The following is a 20,142-nucleotide window of genomic DNA, read 5'->3' as shown; positions in this document are numbered from 1 at the left end:
ATTCCAGGTAGCCTTGACATAATTTCTGTTCTGCAGCAATATGAAGAATATTGATGTAAAAAATGATATGACAAAACATCTTAACTTGAAGTCAGTCATTTTACTTTGATCTTTCCCCATTCATCATTCTGATTTCATCATAGAAAAACATAGATGAAAGTATTCCACACTTGCCACAAAGCATGACTACAGTCATTGGTGGAACAAATGAATTCATTTATAATCTAAATTCCATTTTCACATTTAAGAAAACCACTCACATGATTAAATAAGCATGAAAGCAACTTCAAGCTTTTATTCGTCAATCTGTAGATCAAAACTCTGCTTTAAAGAATAAGGGTCTTCTGGCTCAGGATTGACTTGGCGATGCGGGCTCTTTTTTGGTTCCATATGAACTTTAAAGTAGTTTTTTCCAATTCTGTGAAGAAAGTCATTGGTAGCTTGATGGGGATGGCATTGAATCTGTAAATTACCTTGGGCAGTATGGCCATTTTCACGATATTGATTCTTCCTACCCATGAGCATGGAATGTTCTTCCATTTGTTTGTATCCTCTTTTATTTCCTTGAGCAGTGGTTTGTAGTTCTCCTTGAAGAGGTCCTTCACGTCCCTTGTAAGTTGGATTCCTAGGTATTTTATTCTCTTTGAAGCAATTGTGAATGGGAGTTCACTCATGATTTGGCTCTCTGTTTGTCTGTTGTTGGTGTATAAGAATGCTTGTGATTTTTGTACATTGATTTTGTATCCTGAGACTTTGCTGAAGTTGCTTATCAGCTTAAGGAGATTTTGGGCTGAGACGATGGGGTTTTCTAGATATACAATCATGTCGTCTGCAAACAGGGACAATTTGACTTCCTCTTTTCCTATTTGAATACCCTTCATTTCCTTCTCCTGCCTAATTGCCCTGGCCAGAACTTCCAACACTATGTTGAATAGGAGTGGTGAGAGAGGGCATCCCTGTCTTGTGCCAGTTTTCAAAGGGAATGCTTCTAGTTTTTGTCCATTCAGTATGATATTGACTGTGGGTTTGTCATAGCGGGAGGCATCACACTATCTGACTTCAAACTATACTACAAGGCTACAGTAACCAAAACAGCATGGTACTGGTACCAAAACAGAGATATAGATCAATAGAACAGAACAGAGCCCTCAGAAATAACACCACATATCTACAACTATCTGATCTTTGACAAACCTGAGAAAAACAAGCAATGGGGGAAGGATTCCCTATTTAATAAATGGTGCTGGGAAAACTGGCTAGCCATATGTAGAAAGCTGAAACTGGATCCCTTCCTTACACCTTATACAAAAATCAATTCAAGATGGATTAAAGACTTAAACCTTAGACCTAAAACCATAAAAACCCTAGAAGAAAACCTAGGCATTACCATTCAGGACATAGGCATGGGCAAGGGCTTCATGTCTAAAACACCAAAAGCAATGGCAACAAAAGCCAAAATTGACAAATGGGATCTAATTAAACTAAAGAGCTTCTGCACAGCAAAAGAAACTACCATCAGAGTGAACAGGCAACCTACAAAATGGGAGAAAATTTTCGCAACCTACTCATCTGACAAAGGGCTAATATCCAGAATCTACAATGAACTCAAACAAATTTACAAGAAAAAAACACACAACCCCATCAAAAAGTGGGCAAAGGACATGAACAGACACTTCTCAAAAGAAGACATTTATGCAGCCAAAAGACACATGAAAAAATGCTCACCATCACTGGCCATCAGAGAAATGCAAATCAAAACCACAATGAGATACCATCTCACACCAGTTAGAATGGCAATCATTGAAAAGTCAGGAAACTACAGGTGCTGGAGAGGATGTGGAGAAATAGGAACACTTTTACACTGTTGGTGGGACTGTAAACTAGTTCAGCCATTGTGGAAGTCAGTGTGGTGATTCCTCAGGGATCTAGAACTAGAAATACCATTTGACCCAGCCATCCCATTACTGGGTTTATACCCAAAGGACTATAAATCATGCTGCTATAAAGACACATGCACACGTATGTTTATTGCGGCATTATTCACATTAGCAAAGACTTGGAACCAACCCAAATGTCCAACAATGATAGACTGGATTAAGAAAATGTGGCACATATACACCATGGAATACTATGCAGCCATAAAAAATGATGAGTTCATGTCCTTTGTAGGGACATGGATGAAATTGGAAATCATCATTCTCAGTAAACTATCCCAAGAACAAAAAACCAAACACCGCATATTCTCACTCATAGGTGGGAATTGAACAAGAGAACACATGGACACAGGAAGGGGAACATCACACTCTGGGGACTGTTGTGGGGTTGGGGGAGGGGGCAGGGATAGCATTAGGAGATATACCTAATGCTAGATGACGAGTTAGTGGGTGCAGCACACAGCATGGCACATGTATACATATGTAACTAACCTTCACATTGTGCACATGTACCCTAAAACTTAAGGTATAATAATCATAAATAAATAAATTTAAAAAAAGAATAAGGGTCAATTTCAAACTAGAAATATACTTGTATAAGCCATGCAGTCATGTGTTAAGAACCCAAGTGAAGATACCATTCAGTGTTAAATATTTTTAAAAGGCATTTCCTGTTGTCGATATAATGTGTAACATTTGGCAAAATTCTAGTTAAATTCTAGTTTCCAATTAAATATCTGAGGTAACAATAAGATAGCTGTTTTTGGTAACAGGTACCAGTTTTCCAAATCCATCATTAAAATTAGTTTCTTAGTCTCTTTATGTAGAAATTATTAATTGTTATTCAAAAGAATATTTACAGTGTGCATTGGAGAAAGTCACTCTACTTGATATGTTGTTTTCTCAGTCTCTTACACTTTATTATGAGAGGAATTGAGAAAACAGGAGAAATAGTTGTCTGATTCATATACTACCAGTTGCCCTAACAACAGCTGGCTTATCTTTCTTTATACCCAAACACAAAAAAATACAGAATGAACCAACTTAAAAATTGGCAACTAGTTACTGAACACTAATCTTAAGTTCCTGTTCCACGATGCTTCATACTTCACCATGGAATATAGTGAAGGATCTATACCCAGGAGAAAATTGGAGATGCTTGATCTCACAGGTTTTCTATCATCTTGATGCCTCTCAGGATGACTTACATCAGTAGAAAAACGTTCTACTGTTTTCCCTCTCTTCTGTCTCATTGTCTTTTGTCTCACAATGGTACACCATATTTCGTATCCTCTAAATTCACAGTCTACTTTTTTAGACATGATGAAATTTTTCAACTACTGTAATGTCATCATGCTCCTATCTTCTCAGTGTCTTGTGTCATTTTCGCAATACCATATGGGGAAATGAGAAGACAAAGAGAAAGGCAATTGACAGCTATGTGGGAGAGTGCAGTGTCCAATCTATTCAACAGAGCTCCTACAATGAGAAATGTTTATTGAGTTAATTATGAAACCAATACGTGTCCATTGTAAACCAGAAATTATAAAAGGAAAGAGAAATATATTTAATGAAAATGGAAAAATAACAACTGTTAACATTAATATGTAATCTCTGTTCATAAAATTTTGATTTCTTATCTATAAAGTATAAGAGGATGAACTAGATGAGCAAACATCTCTGATTTGTCCAACTTCTGTAATTTTTTCAAAGTATAAACTTTAAAATTAGAAATGAACACTTATTTACGGAATTTACAAAGACCATTAAATAAAGTCTGTGACTGGAATGAAGGCAGTTTTAAATATCTTTAAACAGGGAAAATTATAATTATATGTTGCTTGAAGATATTCTTTAAAATGAAATTAATGTTGAATTTTTAAACTGTGTCTTTTAACTTTCTTGTTAGGGGTTTATGAGTATAAATTAATTTATTGACCAGTAAATAATTATTTAGAATTTATGTAGATATGCTGCTTTATGCTTTCTTGTAAGGCAATAATTTGTAAAATAAGTAATATCACATTTCATCAGAGAAACTTCTCTGGAATCCTTTTATCACCTGATAACCTTTAATGAAGCACAAATTGGCATAACTTTTTAAAGATTTTTTTGTTTCTAGTGAGTAATTCAGGTACAAATAATGATTGTCTTAGGATTTGACAGAATTAATGGGAACTTAGTACTTTTGGAGGGCTTCTTTGTTTTTACATTGTCAACTATGATTACAAAGTAGTCCATTCTCAAGGTAAACAAAAATAGTATGTAAAGTAAATATGTAGTTTAAAAATAAGAAATGTATAATCCTACTCCTCAGAGATAGCTGTTAATAGATTGGTTTATAGTTCTTTTCTATTTCTTTGTCTTTCTTTCCTTCATTTCCTCCTCCATTCTTCAGCTGTTTGTTATTTATTTATTTGAAGTGGGATTCTGGTGTGTAAATATATGCAATTTCAATTTTCAGAAGTGAGCTGAATTTTGTTTCTTAGTGAAAAATAAGCTAATACCCATTTCCAATAGGTTGATTTGTGTATGCGGGGATGATTAAAGTTGTATCATGTACTATGGAACTAATCCATAGTACACACTCTAGAGTGTGAGCAAAATATCTTTATCTTTTCAAGCTTAAATTTCTTATAGGTAAAATGGTGATAATAATAGTACATACTCATAGAATTATGAGCTATGTTAATTAAAATCATGCAGGTTTGTGTATATTCTCCCAAGTTTAGTAAATATCTTCCCCAAGTTAGTTATTTTTTCTTGGGCTAACATTTTTACTTTAAAATATCCAAGATATATATCAAACGTGTAAATAAAAATTAAGTCTATAAACATATTAATATGTTTAAATATATTTAACATTTAAACACCTTAAACATTTTTATAATGTTCTCTTTAAAATATTTAGCTAATGTAGCCTTTAGAAGTTGTTAAGAAATCATCATTATATTTATAAGCAAATATATATTGGATGTATTTATAATAGGTACTATAAGGTATGTTTATATATAAGAATCCTTACAATGATGTTGCATATATATTGTTTACAATGAAAGAGTCAGGGGTAAAAATGAAAGTGAGACTAACAATTGTTTCCGTAATAATAATAATCTGAAGAAAAAGACATTTTAAATAATTAAGTGCATACTACCTGTCAAGACTGTTGTGTTTTTGAGAATTATTTCATTTATTTTCTCAACAACCCTAAGTATAAAGTTGATATTGGCTCAAGATATTGAGTCCTGTACAGTAACCCTAATCATCATGTATATTATGCCTGTCTATATTTGCCTATTTACCATTGATTAAATGGAAGCTATGTGTATCTAAGTATAGAATTTAGGCTTTGTGGAGGTTGAGATATCCTAAACAATATAATAACATAAAATCTCCATGAAAAATGAAAATAAATGGGAAATTGTCCCTCTAGAAAAATAGTCATGGTTACTTATTTGTTTACTAACAGCATCCTGTATTGTATTGATTTGTCCCAGTCTGTGTGACTGCAAAAATAAAATGGAGTTTTCCATTTATCTCTTTTCCAATCTGATGATACCCACTACTAAAATATATTTTATACCTTATTATATTTAGTAATAGGATACCAAAGTGAAGGTGAATATAAAAACAAGGAAAAAGATTTGGAAAGAAAAAGAATGTAGCTTAAAAGCTGATATCCATTAGAAGTGCTGGGATTAAACAGATAGTAATGTGAAAAACAAAAGATACACCTCTCCTTACATCCTTTAGGGAATGTAATGTCCTGAGATCTAATAATTCTCATAAATTGCCATCTTGTACTGTTTATCACATAAAACAATAACGTTAGATACTTAAAATATGCATTCCCTTTACAGTGAAAAAAGAACATTCAACTCCTGAATACATCTGGAGCTTCTTTTTTCTGTCTCAGAATAATTACTTTCTTAGACCATTACACACTTTCCTTTTACTTCCACCAGCAGATTTTTCTTTTATCATTTTGGAAAATGTCTGTGTCCAGTGTTAGGTAAAGAATAAAAATTTATACCAGCCTCTCACTTGTCTGTTAAATAAAATTTGTATTTTTAGAAAATTATAAATACTGCATATTATGCACCTTAAGATTTGTCCAGAGATATTAAAAAATAGGACTACTAAATCTATGCATGCCAAAGGTATACCAAAGTCATTTTACCACACTATTTTATAAATATATTGATGTTTGAGAGACAGTGTTTTTGAACCTACATTTTAAGAGTTCTGTATTTTGGTATATAATACTATATATTGTGAGGTAAAAAATAGACCCTCTTGCAAGCCTTAACAATATAAAGTTCTCGATAAAAATGCATTTTTTATTTGTTATATTTAGATTAATAGGAAATACCTAGCATAGAGTATTTTAAAAACTTAATTACTCATAGGTAAAACTTAGTGATGAGTTTATTTGATTCCTCAGAAGTAGGAGATAACCACTAATTTTCTCAGGATTTAATTCCAAGATATTTGAATATTTTAAGTAATATTCAAATGATTTATTGAATCCACATAATTTTCCATCACTAATTCTACCATTTCATTGTATCACCCAAGAAAACACTTCACCCTGCAAATAATGCTAGTAATGCTAGCCTGTGACTAAATGAAGTAGGTTCAGAAGAAAGTAGCCTCATGACAATTTAGTTAAAAAATATTCAGTGAATGCCAAATAGTCTGCTGTGCTAAATATATTGCTAGCTGTCACATAAGGAAAAATGACATCAACTGCAGTATCTTGGTTTAAAGATGACGAAGAAATATTTTGCAGAAAAGCAGCCAGGCTTTACCTTTCTGATGCAAAAATTGGAGCCCTCTTAGGAAAAGGCTTAATGGTTTTTTTCTTAACTGGTATATTGGTCCAAGTTGAAGAGAGACATTTTTCAAATTTAATTAAATGAATAAATATCAATATGCTTCCATCTTTTCTGGTCTTAAAATACTTCTTATGTACTGTTTATGATTTTTGATAAATTGCATAAAACTTTAGCTGGGGAAGAATAGAATTGAAATTAATTAAAAATGTGAGACAGTCATAAATAAATGGAAACATTCTAATTTATGTTTAAAATATCAGAATTGTGATTTCATTTCTTTAGGATCTACTATTACAAGAACTTCATTAAAAAAAGAGAATATAGTTGTTATTCTACCACTAGATAAAAATTAACATAACTTTTGTCATTATTTTTATATACTTCCTTACATTTGTCCTTCCATCTTAAAAAAAAAAAAAAGTACTTTGCGGCTATTGGATAATTGACGTTTTTAAATGAGTTTAAAAGTCTAATTTTTGTTTGGTTTGCAAAAGCCAGAACATTCACAGAAGTTTTCTAATTTTCAACCAAGAATCCTTCTTTTGAGAAAAAAAAAAAAAAAACCCAGAAGGTTTGTGTCTAAATTAAACAGGTCAGCAGTTGATCTTAATTTAATTTACTAAACAATTTCATTTAGCAGTTCAGAGACTTGGGCTTCTTCCATGAAAGTGTAGCCATCTGGAGGATTCTACTATTTGATCTAATTTATCTCTGTCCACCTTTATTGCTAAAGTGCATTGCAAGGACCCAGAAATACCTATTTGTCACAAAACCATTGTTGAAGCAATACATGGCAAATAATTAGAGAGTTTAGTGTTTTACAATTAATTTGCTGTATTATATTGTTTAATAAGAAAAAAAGCTTTTTCAATATAAAAGCAACATATTTCAAAGTCTTAGGCTTACTCTATTTTCAAATTCGACACAAGTTTCTGAATTTTCATTCCTGTGGTCAGATAGTTCCACTGTGCTGTACACTTCAGGGTCTGGTGTACTCAGAAGCAGACAGATTTCTGGTTAACTGCAAGAATCAGGAAATGCACTTTTGTATTAGGAAGTGGACCCTAAGTTGCAAATTGTGAAACAAATATATATATTTGGTAATAAAATTTCCCCCACCACCTATTCTCATCCTGCAACGTAGAAGGAAGGGTCTAGAAACACAGTGTAAATGAAAAATAACTTCAAGTATGTCTACAATGTCCACAGCAAAAATACTATAATAATATTTTACATGCTAAAGAATGTTTCTAGAATGTGTATTTATTTATAAAGCTAAATTATTTGATAATGATATTTGGTAAATATTTAGGCATTATTTTATTCTCTGGATATGTTTTTAGAAATGTGAAGACATAAGTGCTCTATTGTATTTATTTTCCAAGTAGGATTTATTTTGTTGCAATAGAAGTATACCTTCTTTCTCAAAATAATGCTATGATAGCATTAATGTTTTACAGCTGCATTTAGTCAATTCATAGACTTATCAAGTAACAGAAATAACACATATCTCACTTCTCAAGTGATTTGTATATATGACTAATAGTTTTGATCTTAATAAAATCATAAGCAACATCAAAATATAACTATTCAACTTGTCAGACTTTTGGTTCCTAAGTATAATAGTTTTTTAAAATTATTTTCAATGTATAAAATGTGAAACTATAACTTGAGAACAGAAATTTCAGAACTAAGCACCATCTATTAATTTGTTGATAACTATTCATTATGATGGAATTAAATTTCAAAATTAAATTATTAGAGTAAAAACTGTGAATAATCTTTATAATTAAAAATTAAAGTATTCTTTATATTACACAGAACATCAGTTTTGTAATACATTTAATTCTGGATTTTTTTTTCCTTCAAAAGATATTCAGATTTTACCAGCACTTACTTACATAAATGAATAAGATTGTATTTCAGACTTTAATAGAACATTATTTATGTAATTTTTCTATTTTCTATATCATATACTTACCAACCTTCTAATTTTATTGATTACACAGTTTTGAAAGTTTATTTTTTTCTACATTAAGCCAGTAAAGTTTAGAAATAAGTATTATCTATTGAACTGATCATCTATTCAAATAGGACACTTGCCAGAATTAGCCAACAACCTGTTAACTCTTTCTTCTCCCTGGTTTTTCTGAGAATGCAAGCATTACTTATAAGTGATGCAACTCCTCTTACACTTAAAAATATACCCTTACATTGTAGTAAAACACTTAAATATTTCCTAATACTTCTGGCAACATTTAAAACCAGTGATTTATGTCCTATATTAACATGATAATACCTAAACCGTATGTCCAATACTCTATTTCCTAAAATATTTTCTTCTATTTTAATTTCTGACATATGAAAATTAGCTATAAAATAACTGGAGAAACATACTATATTTATTTTTAATTGGAAGTAAAATTAGAATTTATAATTCAACTCCTTTATGAAATGCATACCAAACACAAATTTTTATGTAACATCAAAAATAGACTAGACATGAATTAGAGCATGAATTATATTAGCTAACAATATGTAGAATTAGAAAAAGTATATCTTTTAAATTACAAATAAATTGTGTTAATATCCAATAGGTATATATTTAAAAATTAGAAGTAAGTTAATTGCTCAGCCAAAATATTTTTAATGTGTTGTAACACCATAGACACACCTTTATTTATTACAGATATTAAAACTATAGTGCTAAACTAATCAAATTCAAATCAATTTAACCAAATATATTTCAGTGAAACAGTGTTTAAGAAATGCAAAATATACTAAAGAATGAAAAACTCATTGCTTTGTAATCAAAAGCAGTCAACTTTAAACTTCTTCTACCCATCAGGTATATGATAAATTTGTCATTTTCCAGTTGTGTTCTTAGCAGGAAGTTATCAAGAAGGCTTGACATCTCTTAAACTTGCATCTAATTTGTCCGTGTTTATGAACCTAATGTTGATCTGTAAAACCACAGTACAGGAAGGAGAAGATGGCTACAGTTCTGTTAAAATATGTATACATCAGGATTTGCAAATACCATGCATGGTGTTAAAGGATGCCTGTTTTCCAAAAGGAAATGGGCACTGTCTTTTCCTCAGTTCTTGTTGTTGTTTTTTTCCTATGTCAGATGATTCCCAACTAAATTTGGGACAATAAGGGGTATTGTTAACTAATTTTCCCAGTATTTGGATATATTAGAATGAATAACAATGGATAAATATAATACTGCTATATCCAAAATGCTACAAAATTCAGAAGTCATTTTTTCTCATAAATTCAAATATGTCAACCTTCCATTGATACTATATTTTCAGTAATTTTATAAAACTTCTACCCAAGGAAGGGTGTTGAATTAAAACATCTAATCTGCTTGTACTTTTAAAATGCTAGCTTTTATATAAGAAAAGTAGAAAGATCAGTAAGTGTGGTGTTACAAGTTCAGAAAACAATTGAAATACAAAGGTTAAGCCTTTCTGGTATAATAAACCAAGTTTCACCTTTGACTGGTTTGACCCGGTTATTTCTATTTTAACCCTGTTTTGATTTTCAATTACAAGGCAGCAAGAGTCAAGCCACATACATCAATTCTTTCCAAACTTTTGATTTTTCTTTCATTTTTACATGAGTGTACATTTTTGAATATTGATATATGCTCTTTACTCCCTAACTGATAATGTGAGATACTATAAGAATCCCAGGAATTTTTAATAGTAGTTGAGGTTTCATTAAACTTAGTTTTCAAGTGACATCTTAAAGTTTATTCATCAAATAATTCAGGGTGTAAAAGTAGCACATAAACATTAATTGAACAGTCATTAAGCAGTATAACTGTTTGTTTTCAGTTAATAGAGGACATTAAGCTCCATACCGTGTGGTGGAAAACAATAAGGTCTTATGATACACGTGCCATTAAGGATACTGCTACCAGACTTAACCAGTTTCACTTTACAAAATAATGGTCAGCGGTAGTCAGAAGCTTGCCCAAGCCATAGGTAGTCAGATTTCTACTGCCATGTCCCAGCTGCATATATATATATATATATATATATATGGTGTCTCATGCCTTATGCTAATGGTAATGACTAATGTTTGTCATTATCTTCAATCGTATTTTATTTTTATTTTTATTTTTTTAATTTAATTTTATTATTATTATACTTTAAGTTTTAGGGTACATGTGCACAATGTGCAGGTTTGTTACATATGTATACATGTGCCATGTTGGTGTGCTGCATCCATTAACTCATCATTTAGCATTAGGTATATCTCCTAATGCAATCCCTCCCCCCTCCCCCCACCCCACAACAGGCCCTGGTGTGTGATGTTCCCCTTCCTGTGTCCAGGTGTTCTCCTTGTTCAATTCCCACCTATGAGTGAGAACACGCGGCGTTTGGTTTTTTGTCCTTGCGATAGTTTGCTTAGAATGATGGTTTCCAGTTTCATCCATGTCCCTACAAAGGACATGAACTCATCATTTTTTATGGCTGCATAGTATTCCGTGGTGTATTTGTGCCACATTTTCTTCATCCAGTCTATCATTGTTGGACATTTAGGTTGGTTCCAAGTCTTTGCTATTGTGAATAGTGCCGCTATAAACATACGTGTGCATGTGTCTTTATAGCAGCATGATTTATAATCCTTTGGGTATATACCCAGTAATGGGATGGCTGGGTCAAATGGTATTTCTAGTTCTAGATCCCTGAGGAATCACCACACTGACTTCCACAATGGTTGAACTAGTTTACAGTCCCACCAACAGTGTAAAAGTGTTCCTATTTCTCCACATCCTCTCCAGCACCTGTTGTTTCCTGACTTTTTAATGATCGCCATTCTAACTGGTGTGAGATGGTACCTCATTGTGGTTTTGATTTGCATTTCTCTGATGGCCAGTGATGATGAGCATTTTTTCATGTGTTTTTTGGCTGCATAAATGTCTTCTTTTGAGAAGTGTCTGTTCATATCCTTCACCCACTTGTTGATGGGGTTGTTTGTTTTTTTTCTTGTAAATTTGTTTGAGTTCATTGTAGATTCTGGATATTAGCCCTTAGTCAGATGAGTACATTGCAAAAATTTTCTCCCATTCTGTAGGTTGCCTGTTCACTCTGATGGTAGTTTCTTTTGCTGTGCAGAAGCTCTTTAGTTTAATTAGATCCCATTTGTCAATTTTGGCTTTTGTTGCCATTGCTTTTGGTGTTTTAGACATGAAGTCCTTGCCCATGCCTATGTCCTGAATGGTAATGCCTAGGTTTTCTTCTAGGGTTTTTATGGTTTTAGGTCTAACATGTAAGTCTTTAATCCATCTCGAATTAATTTTTGTATAAGATGTAAGGAAGGGGTCCAGTTTCAGCTTTCTACATATGGCTAGACAGTTTTCCCAGCACCATTTATTAAATAGGGAATCCTTTCCCCATTGCTTGTTTTTCTCAGGTTTGTCAAAGATCAGATAGTTGTAGATATGCAGCATTATTTCTGAGGGCTCTGTTCTGTTCCATTTGTCTATATCTCTGTTTTGGTACCAGTACCATGCTGTTTTGGTTACTGTAGCATTGTAGTATAGTTTGAAGTCAGGTAGTGTGATGCCTCCAGCTTTGTTCTTTTGGCTTAGGATTGGCTTGGCGATGCGGGCTCTTTTTTGGTTCCATATGAACTTTAAAGTAGCTTTTCCCAATTCTGTGAATAAAGTCATTGGTAGCTTGATGGGGATGGCATTGAATCTATAAATTACCTTAGGCAGTATGGCCATTTTCACGATATTGATTCTTCCTACCCATGAGCATGGAATGTTCTTCCATTTGTTTGTATCCTCTTTTATTTCATTGAGCAGTGGTTTGTAGTTCTCCTTGAAGAGGTCCTTCATGTCCCTTGTAAGTTGGATTCGTAGGTATTTTATTCTCTGTGAAGCAATTGTGAATCATTCCATCTTATTTAAAAAACCTCTCAGGAGAGACTGATCATAGATAGGACACTGCTGAAAGTGAAAGTGTTTTTCTAAAACACATAATATAAAAAGCCCTTAAATACAAAAGGTTGGATGGATAATTTAGTTTATTTTGGGTATGCTTGACAACTGCTACTGTTATTAAATTTGCCATGAGACTGATTGACATCCAATATGAGAATGCCTTATAGATGCCTGTATGTGTAATTGCACAATGCTTAAAGCTGTTCTGCTCATCTGGGACTGTAGGTGAAGATGTATGATAGAAAAACGAAAAACTGGAATAAACCCAAGACTGGCTGTTTGGAGGTTTAATGTTTTTAACAATGGAGGTGAGTCCCTTCATCTATTTGTGATTTCATTTATGAACTCTGCTTACAAGACAGGTACAGAACACTTCATTATGGACCCAGACATATATGTTTAAATGGATAAAGTAGCTGTTTGCATCAGATGGAAGCTAAGTGGAGACATTAAATTAATGTCAAACCAGTGAGAAACTCTTTTAGTTTTATTCTACATTGTAGCAGCATAGTGGTAATGTGGTGACTTTCATATGCACACAATTTCTGTGTGTCTTATTCATCAGAACATGAGGTTATAAATTCCTGTATTACAAAGAAAAACAAAAGCAATAATCAACTAATAAAAAAATATATTTTGTTCAGAGAATGTGATGAATGTTCACACTGTTTTTCACAGTAAGGAGGATGGGGGACAAAAAGTTTCTGTGGAGAAGAAATGTCATCCACCATACATGATGGCTCTTTATCGAGCCTTTGCCTAAAGTATGACTGTACTCATCCTGCCAAGTATCACCTTTTTTTATTAGAGGAGAAGTTCAATTTCACTGGAGAAGGCCAAGATATAGGGACTTCCAATAAATCTTTGTAGAATGAAATGGGATGGAATGGAGTAGGGTAGAACAGAACCCAGTAGAATAGGACTATAATTATTTGTTCCTTCCTTTAATTCTAATTTGTTCTGAAACAAAAGGAGAAATAAACGTATGGCTGATCAGAGATACAGATGATTTGGAAGATACATTTCTGTTTTCTTCCTTGTATATTCTTGTATTTTAAAATAACTACCTGGGGAGTATAAATTACACTTACATTTGCTTAATGAGATAGGAAATTGTGTAAGATATATTTCAGGAATTTTTTCTTAAAAGAACTTAAGTAATTTTTTTAATGAAAGTACATTTCCCAGGACCTGATATTCAGAAAGACCTTAGGGAAGAGTTGAGAACAGTTATGGATACTATAGAAACATTGTGCCTCCTTCCATTTTGTCTCAGAGGAGTTTGGAAGAAAACAGTATCTTCTCTTTATGACCATCTTGAATCTGATCCATACTTAACATCTTTCCAAACTCTTTTCAGAGTTCCACGTAAATTCTCCTGTACAATATAACACTCTCTTTGGAATTCACTGTCAGTTACGAACTACACTGTGTATAAAGTGACCATACGTCCTGGTTTACGCCTGTTGTTTTAGGGTCATAATCATTAGCACTACATTTTACTCTCAGATGTGTCCCAGTAGGGATGAGAAATTATGGTAGTTTTATCTATAAATAATAATAACATGTCAACAATAATAACCAATAACCTTATTGGAAGCTTGCTATTTGTCAGAGACTTTGAGTGCTTTCATGTATAATGAATTCTTCATAATAACCCAGTGAGGCAAGTATTTTATTTCCCCCATTTTACATTAGAAGAAACAAAGAGTTAAAGAGGTTAAACAGTATGGCCTGCTCACATAATGGGCCCAACCTTAATCCAGACGAAGGTCTGACTTTATAACATCGTGTGCCAGAAGATGGTTATGCTATCTTCTTCTTTGCTGGCTGATAGAATTAGCTTTGTTTTTTTTTAATACACTCAAAGATTATCAATACTTCTCATTTGCTATTCTTCCTAGATGTTGTAACTATATTTTTATAAGGACTGTGGATTTTAAGATGCAAGAAAAGAACACCGAAGTGAACTAAAATTCATTTGGGTTTTAGTTCAGGATATTAATTTTACTATATTAATAAAAATAACTGTGATTTGTTGAGTGACTAGTTTATGCAAGATTGGGACTTTCCCTTTGTTATATCACTGACCCTAAAAACAGCAGTGCAAGGCAGAACATTTGAACCCCATGAATGTATATGATTGCTTTAACTATGAGCCCTAAATTGGTTCATAGGTTACAAATGAAGCTTGGGGCATTAACTCGTTTCAGCAGGCCTCTCCAGCTCTGACATTCTTATCCCTAGCTGTCTCTAGGAGTACTTGATTATCAGGATATAAGACATGGAATCTGGATGCTAGGAAAAATTCTTGGGGACAAAGGGACTTACTCAGCACCTCATGTTTATATTAACTATTGTGCATTGAGTGCTTAATAAGGGCATGCACTTTATATATTTTTGTAAACATATTTTCTTCTATTTTTCTCCTTACCATAGGCCAAAAAAGAAGATAATTTGGATTTGAACCAATGTAAGTTTAACTCCACTATGCTAGAGAGATCATCTGTCTCTGAAACTCTCTATAAATTACCATAATTTAGGAACTTTTCTGAAAAGCAGTATTAAACATGAATAAATAACATTTGCTGATAATCAAATTTGTTCCACGACTGTATAAAGAATATCAATATAAAAACAGATATAATAGTGTTGTATAGAGATTGTTGAAATTCCTTGTCGTATTTTCAAATAAAAAGTGTGGAAATTTTTACTAGTGCAGAGTAAGTTCTGTATACTGCAAAGAACAAAGTTAATGTAAATCTGTGCCTATATGCAAAAGATGATTACAATTCACTTGGGAATACAAGAATATAAATCCACAAATGTGGATTGTGTACTATTTTAAAATGCCAAATTTTATAGTGTAATCTGAACAGTGGTTCTTAACTGCGTATGCATATCAGCATCATGCATGGTGTGTTTTAAAACTACAGATGTCAGGACCCTACTGCATTGACTAAGTAAGTTTTGAGGTTAGAACCTGGAAATGTGTGTTTTTAAAATTCCACAGGTGATTTTGAGGTGTACTATGGATAACAACCAGGGGATTAAAATATATGTGTAACATATTGATAAGTTAATTATGCAGATTTTAAAAATTAATTTTGGCTGGGATATAAAAACATGGCTTTAGAGAAGAGATAGGATTTGAATGGAAGGTCAGATGTGGACAGAAAGTAAAAGAAACATTTATTTCTTTTTCTTATTTAGCCCAAAATAAAATTTTATCTTTAAGGTTTTTATCTGCATTTCACATTCCTAATTGGATTGGGCTGGAATAGTAAATAAAACAATAAATACCTGGAAATGTTCAATTATTTTCTAATATATCTGTGATATGGCTATATGAAAATCAGGTTTGAAAGCTTGCCTGAAAACTTGTATATTATAGTATTTATATTAATATCAATAATAAGGAAATCTAATCACAGCTAATAAATGCAATTTAGGCTGCAAACTACCAAAGGGCAGGATTTATGTTTTATTCAAATTTGAATTCTTAGATATTTAGCATAGTGGACTAGCCTATGCATAATATATATTTGTTTGTTGAATGAATTAGACATTTGGATTTATTTGCTTTATTTATTCCACCTTGTGGGGCAAATTTCACTGGTGTCCATTTGAAGGCTTAAGAACTTTTGCTATGAAAGTTTTGGTTTGTTCATCTATTTGTTTCTTGACCCAGAACCAATGTTCTGACAAAGACTCACAATCATTAGCTTATAGGAGAAAGCTTTTAGGTTTTTTCTTTCCAAGAAAAAGACAAGGGAAGGAAGGACAGGTGGAAAAGGCATATGAGAATTGCAGGAGAGCTCCTTTTTAACAGCAGGAGAGTTCTCGTTCTAAGTTTATGCCCACAGCAGCTGGTAAACCACTCTTCTCAGATCAGTCCTTCCACAGGGAGCACTGAAGTCACCAAACCTGCCAATGATCAGGAGAAAGGCTTCCAAAGCTTTCCCAAGCTCTATCTGCTAACCAACATTTTTTGTAGGACACGTTTGTTTTGTCACTGTTTTGGTTTGGGGTGTTAATGGAGCTTTAAAGGCACAGTGAAAAGATCACAAAAACTATTTTGCTTATGTTGCATATGTCTTTCCAGCACCAGTCAAGCCAGGGTTCTTTTGCTTTTTGGTTGTTGTCGTGGAAACGATGTCAGATGTTCATATGTTCCCAGTGGAATTTTACAATACTTTTGGAAACAGTTTCATAGGGTGAAAATAAGAAGAAGAAAGAATGAAAACAAAACACAGATGGGAAAATAGTACGGTGACTTGATGATAGAAAGCTTTGATTTTCATTGTTCTACTTTTGAAAATAAGGGTAAAAGTCGAGGGCATCTTACAATGCTTAGCTGTGGACATCCATGTGTAAAAACATTTTCAGTGTGAGACTACTTTGATAATGATGACAGCCACTTACTTTGGTATCAGGAAAGGGACAGGTAAGATCCAGAGGATGGAGCTTGGGCAGAAGCTGTTGTTACAGGACAGGATTCCTGTAATCTACTCTCTCTATGGACCATCTTTTGAGTAGTTGCACTTTTTCGGCTTCCCCACTCCTTTCTCCAGGTGCCTTGTGATTGCTTCACCCTAGACAAGTCTGTTTTTCCTCAGGAGAAAACAAATCCAAAATAAACATGATTACATAATTCTTTATAAGCAATGATTAAATAAGAACATATCTAAAACAGTTTAATTCATATTGGGTGGCATAAAACAGCTGAAAATCTAAAGAATTTCTGTTTTAGGAATGTTTCAAAAGTAGGCCATCACGTGCATGGTATATACGTCATCTTGAATACAACCGTAATTTTAATCAGTCAGTGATGTGCTGGCACCGGCGCATACAAGCTCATAGGATCCAAACGTGTGCATCTCTTCTCAACTAAAGTTCAATGACTTCATTTTGGTAGCTTGAAGTAGACCCTGGTGTGTCTACTTATACCATAGAAATTGGGGAATGTTACAAATCTGGACTTTTTAATTATTTTGCAGAGAGCCAGTTTACCAGCACACCACTGAGTTACATGCACATTTTAGAAGTAAAAAGAGACGCAATATAAATATACGTCTCTGTAATTAGGGATGTTACTTGCTGAGTAAATATTTAAAGAAGACACTGCTTAAGAGACACAGTATTTTGTTAGACTGCCTAGGCTCAAATCTTTTATTAGTTGTCAATTAACCTCTCTGTCCTTTTGTCTTCTTATCCTTAAAATGAGAACTTCATAGGATTTTTCTGATGATGAATGAGTTAATATATATGATGCACTCAAAAAAGTGCCTGCCAGAGAAGGTTCTCAATAAGTATATTCTATTAGTAGCAACAAGAGATGAGGCTATATGGTTTTTACAATCTTCTCTTAAAAGACTGCCTAAATTCAGTGTTATTTTCCTTGTTGAGCTTTTATATCTCAGAAGCCCATACTCAATTTCCACAAGTTTTGTAAAGATCCGTTAAATGAAATCACATCAAATCTCTTTGAAATGCATAAAGCACTATGTAAATGAAAGGTGGAATAATTATGTTAAAGGCATCATCTTGAATTTTGTTTATACTGCATATCTGAAATGAACATCAGATTTCTCTCTAGGCAGTTACTGCTCCTACAGAAACAAACACAGATGGGGCCCAAACTTCCTACTGAATACTTTGAGGCAATGGCGTTTATCAAAATACCTCTGGTCACTAAATGTACAAAAACTTCAAACAAACTCCACATCTCAGTGTCAGGCCAACATAGTTATTTAGGCAAATAAGCCTTTCTTTGACAATTCAAGGATTTTCTGATGTGTGAAATGGACTACTTCAACAAATAAAAAATCTTACATGTAGGCTAAGTTTTATAAAATAGGATATTAACATTGCAATTTCTTTTAGAGAAAAATAAATCAGTTTGTCTTCTGTGATGAGCATTTCTAGCCAAATTAAAAGTAATTTTTTGGTTGTGCATGGACACGTTCCCTTTTCCCATTGCCCTTCTGGTCACATAAAGCAGAAAAAAAATATGTCTTAAAAATACGTATTTAGGCAAAGCACATTGGCTCATGCCTGTAATCCCAACACTTTGGGAGACCAAGGCGGATGGATCACCTGAGGTCAGGAGTTCAAGACCAGCCTGACCAACATGGTGAAACCCTGTCTCTACTAAAAATACAAAAAATTAGCTGGATGTGGTGGCGCATACCTGTAACCCCAGCTACTTGGGAGGCTGAGGCAGGAGTATCACTTAAACTAGTAGGTGGAGGTTGCAGGGAGCCAAATTGCACCACTGCACTCCAGTCTGGGCGACAGTGCAAAACTCCTTCTCAAGAAATAAATAGTGTGTGTGTGTGTGTGTGTGTGTGTGTGTGTGTGTATGTATGTATGTATTTAAACGTTCTAAGAACCTAGTGTTTGGAATACAGACCTTCCTATTCCACAGGATAGTCCTGGGATTTCTATAACCTAAACTCTCCTTATTGGGTTTTGTGTTGTTTCTGGGCATGTTTGCCTTTGAATCCACTTTTTGCCCTTTCTCTGGCTCAGTTAGCGGGAGGGAGATCTGACCCCTGAGGTTTCATTTCCCAGAAAGCTGTCTCAGCTAGCTTGCAACTGGCTTCTGCCAATGAGGATTTGGGGGTAAGTACCCTGGCAGGAGCCTATGAGATTGAGAAAAAGGTAGAAGTCAGGTTATTTTCCCAACATTCACTTTGCCTCCTGCGCCTTCCCCAGCAGCAGCTGTATCTTTTCCCCACTCTGCCTCTCACGACTCAAGTTTGCCACAGTTCCAGTTCCCAGCAGGTAATCCAAGGCTCCTGTGTTATTTATAGAAGCATCTTCTTGTCCTGTCCTGTGTCCCTCCAGCTTAGGGTTAGTTACGACTTGCTCCTGTTACTAATTTCTGAGTTGAGCAACTCAGAGAAGAAATGGGTAATGAAAGAGACAAGAAGTGAACCTTTTCTCTATTGGTTTCTTGTCTCTTTCATTACCCATTTCTTGCTGTAACTAAGCCCCTGCATTATAGTCCTTTAACTACTTCAACTGAACCCTATTTTCCTAATTGAACCCTGTTTGACCCAAGGTCTGACACAGGTCACTTGCCCATACTGGATTCTTGAGCAAACAACAGAAGTGCAGTTCTCTCTCCCGTATCCATCCTGAAGATTCCAGAGATTTCTGGTTCATGAACACTAGCAATCATTGTTCCCTTTACAGCTCTCCTCCTCTAGTTAAATGATGATTCTACCTTGAGTCTGCACTATATTCCTGAGATGTTGGCAGAAAGTATTTTTCTATGTTTCTGCTAACATTAGTGTCACAAGACACTCAAAAATTATACTCGATTATTAACCTTCTTCAGGCCACATCCCTCAAATTCACTGAAAGGAACTGATTTATAGGTGGTTGGTCTATCAAA

The 20,142-nt window shown here is 33.7% G+C and overlaps 1 protein-coding gene across 4 annotated transcripts in view; it reads left to right on the top strand.

Moving 5' to 3' along the window:
* KHDRBS2 (KH RNA binding domain containing, signal transduction associated 2) overlaps positions 1-20,142 on the top strand; it is a 743,556-nt gene that overhangs the window by 611,899 nt on the left and 111,515 nt on the right. For 3 of the 4 annotated variants that reach the window (NR_146870.2, NR_146874.3, NR_146871.3), the window contains 2 exons: positions 12,963-13,045; positions 15,177-15,210. The exons of the other annotated variant lie outside the window; for it this stretch is intronic. The gene's annotated coding sequence lies outside the window, so the exon portion shown is untranslated. The remainder of the gene's footprint in view (positions 1-12,962; positions 13,046-15,176; positions 15,211-20,142) is intronic. 4 annotated transcript variants of the gene reach the window in all.

The sequence above is a fragment of the Homo sapiens genome, chromosome 6 (genome assembly GCF_000001405.40).
Source record: "Homo sapiens chromosome 6, GRCh38.p14 Primary Assembly".
Taxonomy (NCBI): Eukaryota; Metazoa; Chordata; class Mammalia; order Primates; family Hominidae; genus Homo; species Homo sapiens.
The sequence above is the reverse complement of the archived record's forward strand: the minus strand, read 5'-3'. Positions and strand labels throughout refer to the sequence as shown.